Source organism: Homo sapiens, chromosome 1 (genome assembly GCF_000001405.40).
Source record: "Homo sapiens chromosome 1, GRCh38.p14 Primary Assembly".
Classification (NCBI taxonomy): domain Eukaryota; kingdom Metazoa; phylum Chordata; class Mammalia; order Primates; family Hominidae; genus Homo; species Homo sapiens.
The window spans coordinates 206,609,678-206,615,702 of record NC_000001.11 but is presented as its reverse complement, the minus strand read 5'-3'; the positions used below and the strand labels follow the sequence as shown (position 1 = coordinate 206,615,702).

The 6,025-nt window shown below is 47.3% G+C and overlaps 1 protein-coding gene across 7 annotated transcripts in view, besides 3 other annotated features; it reads left to right on the top strand.

Moving 5' to 3' along the window:
* Nucleotides 2,976–3,185: a silencer, noted in NCBI's record as "silent region_1758". NCBI's record gives its function as "represses an Ori minimal core promoter by ATAC-STARR-seq in GM12878 lymphoblastoid cells {active_cell/tissue: GM12878}" and the evidence as "EXISTENCE:reporter gene assay evidence [ECO:0000049][PMID:35858748]".
* The window catches only part of EIF2D (eukaryotic translation initiation factor 2D), a 43,320-nt gene continuing 40,532 nt past the window's right edge, over nucleotides 3,238–6,025 (top strand). For all 7 annotated transcript variants that reach the window (XR_001737023.3, XR_007095680.1, XM_011509257.3 and 4 more), the window contains exons 1-2: nucleotides 3,238–3,416; nucleotides 4,329–4,519. Coding sequence is in view for 5 of the 7 variants with exons in the window: in XM_011509257.3 (XP_011507559.1) it covers nucleotides 3,361–3,416; nucleotides 4,329–4,519 (247 nt within the window). In the remaining 2 variants the exon portion in view is untranslated. The remainder of the gene's footprint in view (nucleotides 3,417–4,328; nucleotides 4,520–6,025) is intronic.
* Nucleotides 3,476–3,545: an enhancer, noted in NCBI's record as "active region_2410". NCBI's record gives its function as "activates an Ori minimal core promoter by ATAC-STARR-seq in GM12878 lymphoblastoid cells {active_cell/tissue: GM12878}" and the evidence as "EXISTENCE:reporter gene assay evidence [ECO:0000049][PMID:35858748]".
* Nucleotides 5,956–6,015: an enhancer, noted in NCBI's record as "active region_2409". NCBI's record gives its function as "activates an Ori minimal core promoter by ATAC-STARR-seq in GM12878 lymphoblastoid cells {active_cell/tissue: GM12878}" and the evidence as "EXISTENCE:reporter gene assay evidence [ECO:0000049][PMID:35858748]".

Genomic DNA, 6,025 nt, shown 5'->3' with positions numbered 1-6,025 from the left:
TAGGCATTTGTCCTGACATCATTTATTGCATCCATTTTTTCCTAGTGGTTGGAAAGCATCATCCACAGACTAAATCATGCAAGGTAACTGTGTGAGCCTGGACAAGTTAGTTAACATCTCTGTACTCCAGGTTTCTCACCTGGCAAAGGGGTTAACAATAACTGCTTACAGCATTGGTATGAAGGTAACATGAGGCAATGGGCATGGACACATTTGAAAAAGTAAAAATCCCGTATCCCTGAATCATCTGTATATGGGTGAAGATAACATGACTCTTTCTGAGGCTGTGAACACACTTGCTCATCTGAAAAGCCATCCAGATCCATCAAAGAATTCTCAAACCATTGGTCACATTTGAAATGTAGATGCCAATGATCCATATTTTCAGGGGATTTGCGTGTGGGCTTCAGTAGAAGGGAAGAGAAGGCTAGTGAAGGAGTAACTAGTAGGTAGCCATGGATGAATTATCAGTTTGGGTACCCTGTGGTCCTATAGACTTCAAGAGGACATAAATACCACTTGTTAGACTGTGAGTTCCTTGAGGGCAGAGTGCTTGTGTCGAATTTGTCTTAAAAATCACAGAGCCTGATTAGAAAGCTTCCAGTTAAGTTTCAATGAATTAAACTAAATTTTCTCCATTAGGACTCACTGGGAAGAGAAGAAAAAGGAAGTCTAAGGAAAATGGAATCTCTCATCTGGCCTACCCTTGCTTCCAAATACTTGGTACTCTTGTAAAGAATCCAATTTACAGCCAGTTGCTATCAAGTATAATTAGTGAAAACGATCCTTTTTCTCAGTAAATGGCAGCTTTCTTGGTATAGTTGCCCTGTGCCTTGCTGCAACTTGGCAGCTCAGACCCACCAGTGGGGAACAGTCTGGGAGCCCTGTGGGGTGGCTCTGGAGCTGCTGATGGAAGGCACAGGAATCAGGGCTTGCTGAACTTAAGGTTCAGGCTGCTTTCCCTGCAATAGGGTCAGCCAGCAGGGAGCAGGCAGGTCTGTGATGCAAGCAGAGAAGGTGGGATTGTGCCCACTGGGGAAGGGGGCTCTTGCTCTACCAAAGAGGAGGCTGGATGCCATGGTGCAGAATCCTCTGGGGTCTTGGCTCCTACTTGTCAACCACTAATTAATTTTTAGGTTTACAATTGATGTTTTCTTATCCAAGGACATCTGGTATACAAAAGTTCCCCTAGCTTAAAATGTTTAGTATTCTCTGAATAGCTTTCCTCTGTTCCCTAAGAAAGAGGCTTCCTCAGCAGCTGTGCTGCAAAAGACCCCAAATGTATTGCACATCCGAAGAGTGGCTAAGTGGGAGGTGAAGGGTGGGTACAGGGGTCTGTTGTAGGCACTGTCCTCCTCTGGGCTCCTTTGACATTGGCCTGGTGGCTGGGATACTTCAGAATAAAGGCCTAGTGGGTCACAGGTTTAGGAGGAGTTGGGGCTGGTCCCTAGGCCACTATAGGTGGTGGGCAAACATTGTAGAAGGCCTAATGTTTAGAAAGCCAGTGTGGAATTCTCCTTTGTGCAACTGCGTCACTGAATCAATTGGGATTTTTTATTGGTGAATGGACACTTGGAAGTTTTAATATGCAAAACATAATTTACTTTTATTACTTAAATTGCTTAATGTAATTTTAATATGCAAGACTTAATTTACGAAGAGCCAGGATTCCGGGTGTTTAAATCCTTGTCTCCAGGGAACACAGCTGTCCCTTTGAGGAAAACCTAATTTCTCTTCCCTGCCTGTGTGACTTTGGGACAAATCTGGGACAACAGTGAATTCTCTATTACTGTTATTACCACCCAAGTAAACTAAAAATCCGGGATGAGAAAAATCTTACAGAAAATTCTAGCTGAGGCTTCTAGCTTATAGTACAATGAATAGACCTTAATCATAGAATGCCTTTAAGAAAAACATTTAGGCCCGACTTGGTGGTTCACACCTGTCCTGTAATCCCACCACTTTGGGAGGCCGAGGCGGACAGATCTCTTGACCTCAGGAGTTTGAGACCAGCCTGGGCAACAAGGTGAGATCCTGTCTCTACAAAAAATACAAAAATTAGCCTGGTGTGGTGGTGCCCGCCTGTAGTCCCAGCTACTCGGGAGGCTGAAGCGGATGGATCGCTTGAGCCCGGGAGGTGGAGGCTGCATTGAGCTGAGATTGCGCCACTGCACTCCAGCCTGGGTGACACAGCGAGACCCTGTCTCCAAGTAAACAAAATAAAATAAAATAAAGAAAAATATTCAAAAAGCCCTCGAGGTTTTTTTGTTTGTTTGTTTGATTTTTTTGATACGGAGTCTTACTCTGTTGTCCAAGGTGGGGTGCAGTGGCACAATCTCGGCTCACGGCAACCTCTGCCTCCTGGGCTCAAGCGATCCTACCGCCTTAGCCTCCCCAGGCATGCGCCACCACACCCGGCTGAATTTTTCTTTTTTCTTTTCTTTTTTTTTTTTTTTTGAGACGGACTTTCACTCTTGTTGCCCAGGCTGGAGTGCAATTGTGCAATCTCGGCTCACCACAACCTCTGCCTCCCGGGTTCAAGCAATTCTCCTGCCTCAGCCTCCCGAGTAGCTGGGATTACAGGCATGCTCCACCATGCCCGGCTAATTTTGTATTTTTAGTACAGACAGGGTTTCTCCATGTTGATCAGGCTGGTCTCGAACTCCCGACCTCAGGTGATCCGCCCACCTCGGCCTCCCAATTCTTTTTCTTTCTTTCTTTCTTTCTTTTTTTTTTTTTTTTTTTTTTTTTTTATTTTGTATTTTTTATGGAGATGGGGTTTCGCCATGTTGCCCAGGCTGGTCTCGAACTTCTGGGCTTAAGCGGTCCGCCCGCCTCGGCCTCCCAAAGTCTGGGATAACAGGCTTGGGCCACCGCGCCCGGCCGAAGCCTGAACTGTTTATCAGTTCAATTATTTTTGCGGAATTGAACCGAACCGAATGGAATGGGAGCTTGCAGAGAGCTTCTACTCAAAGCAGTTCCTAAGGTTGATGGGGTGGAAGGAAATAAACAGAACAGCTATTGGCGTGGCCGAGTCGCTACGGACGGGGAACCCGAGCCGCTCGCGCAGGCGCAGAGCCAGGCCCGCGAGGGGATGGGAAGGTGGGGGGGAGGGGCGTTCCCTGGGCCCTGCCCCTCCCTGCCCTGCTTTAGTTCCAGGTACCGCCACTGGGGGCGGCCGCGGCCTCCCCAGCGGCAACGGCCACGAAGCTGCGCGGCCCTGGTTTCCAGCCGGGCCCTTTTCGCGGCCGGGCCCCAGCATGGCTGCCCCCACGGCTGAGGGCCTGGCAGCTGCTGCGCCCTCGCTTTCTTGACATTCCCTGGCTTCTGTGCTCTCTTCCCCAGGCCACCCCAGCAGACATGTTTGCCAAGGCCTTTCGGGTCAAGTCCAACACGGCCATCAAGGGGTCGGACAGGTGAGGGAGGAAAGGGGCCTGCTCTGCCACGGAACAACCAGACACCTCTTGGGCCCCGCTGGCCCATAGCCCTCGCTATTCTTGGCCGACATCCTCGGGTGGAGGCCGAGGGGTATGCCAGGGAAGGGACCCCAGGAGGCAAGGGTGGGTTAGACACATTTTGAGGTGAGGATGGAGGGGGACCTGGCTCTCTTTTGGATAGTCTAGTGAGTTTAAAAGAAAACGTAGTTAAGTCAGAGTTTACTGACTGCAGACTATTTAAGGTGTTGTGGAGAATGCAGAAGTGAAGGAATACAGAATTCTTGCCCTCCAAAGAGCTTAATGCCCCTTGGGAGAGATCGGATGGGATACCAAGAATTAAAAGTATAAGAGAAAAAAATGACTAGTGATTAATTCTGGCAGGAGAGACAGCTGGAAACTGAGGTGGGAGGGAATAAGGCACATGTGGTAAGAAGAACTGTATCTGTTCAGACAGGGTCACAAATGGAGATTGTGTTTGGAATTTTGTAACCAGTGCTTTATAGTTGTCTATAGGTCTCATGGCATAGTTATTTAATCATAAACTGGCATATTTGCGAAGCATGTATGAGAAAGGAGTGGGCCCAAGGGCTAGGCATGAAGTCAGGAAGGCAGGGCTGTTTCCTGTGTCAGGCTAACTTGGATTGTTCACTGGGCCTGTTTTCCCACCCATAAAATGGGAAGGCATACCCCAGGAATGAGTGAAAATAGATGACAATGGATGAAAAAGAGTTTAGGATGTTTCAGAAGAGTGTGTGTGAGACTAGGACATCATAAACCAGGCAATCTTTCTTTGGCCCTTGTGATTTTATAGTGAGCACTTTTGAGTTCGTTCTTGATATTTATTAAAAGTCTGTCCAGGCAGCATTCACAGTGCTGGTGTGCTTTCCACAGGAGAAAGCTTCGAGCTGATGTGACAACTGCTTTCCCCACCCTTGGAACTGATCAAGTCTCTGAGTTAGTACCTGGAAAGGAGGAGCTCAACATTGTGAAGTTGTATGCTCACAAAGGGGATGCAGTGACTGTGTACGTGAGTGGTGGTAACCCCATCCTCTTTGAACTGGAGAAAAATCTGTATCCAACAGGTATGACAACAGGACGAAGATGGCCATTACCATTAGGTAGTTCTTGCCTAACATCTGCTTCTCTCTGTTTCTTCCATTGTCTCCCATAAAATAAGCAAGCACGAAATCTCCCAATACCATCCCCAAGGATCTTTATGGACCTGGTGTTCCTAGAATTGGGTCTTTCAATTCTAGGATGCAAAAGGTTTTCTCTTATGCAAAACCACTATAGGAGGGATTAAAAAAAGGGCTGACATAGTAAGTAAGGGTGGTTGCAAAGGGAAGTTCTGAGATGAAGGAACAGTGGCTGAGAAGTTTACAGTGGGTTGACTAGGAATAGAGCAGAGGTCTTGAAAAGGATGGAATTTCAGGGCATGTCTTCATGAGACAGAGTCTTGCTCTGTTGCCCAGGCTGGAGTGCAGTGGCGCAATCTCAGCTCACTGCAAGCTCCGCCTCCTGGGTTCACACCATTCTCTTGCCTCAGCCTCCCGAGTAGCAGGAACTACAGGCACCCGCCACCACACCTTGCTAATTTTTTGCATTTTTTAGTAGAGACGGGATTTCACCATGTTAGCCAGGATGATCTTGATCTCCTGACCTCATGATCCGCCCGCCTCGGCCTCCCAAAGTGCTGGAATTACAGACGTGAGCCACCGCGCCTGGCCAAAAATATATATATTTTTTAGAGACAAGGTCTTACTCTGTCACCCAGGCTGAAGTGCAGTGGTGTGATCGTAGCTAACTGTAACCTCAACCTCCTGTGCTTAAGGGATCCTCCCACCTCAGCCTCCTGTGTAGCTGGGACTACAGGCATATGCCACCATGTCTGGCTACGTTTAAAATTTTTGGTAGAGACAAGGTCTCACTATGTTGCTCGGGCTGGTCTTGAACTCTTGAGCTCAAGTGATTTTCCTGCCTCAGTCTCCCGAAGTGTTGGGATTACAGGCATGAGCAGGGTGCCCAGCCTAAAAAATGTTTCTTAAAACTATCTGTAGCAGGATTTTCCTAAAATACTGAAAAGATATACTGTGATAGGAATAAAGCTGGATTGATAAGCTACATATCCAGCTGTTTTCATGGTGTACTTTAACCATAGGTCTCACAGGGATTTTTTAGGCTATGAGTGGCTCTCTAGGATTCTTTGCCTTCTCTGTCACAAATCTCAGGGACTCAGTCTCCTTTTCTCTTTTCCATAGCTGCTGACACCTACTTTGTAACTTGGGGCTTTTCATCCTCCAGGGTTGTCTGCAATAGTGCAATGCAATATCCTTAGGCCACTCCTGCCCCTGATCTCACTTCCTTGCTGTACCTGAAGACAACCACAATGCTTTTTGACCTAGGGGTTTTTGCTGCTAATCACTATGGAAACAGAGGGGATAAAAATGATAAACATGGGAAAGTTTCCAAATTTTATACAGCTGGCTTCCTGTTCTTAGGCTACTTGCTTCTGAAGCCGTAAATAAAAGCTTCATTGGTTCTCTGCCCTCACTTTTTTGTCCACTGTGACCATTTTCTGCTGCTGCAAT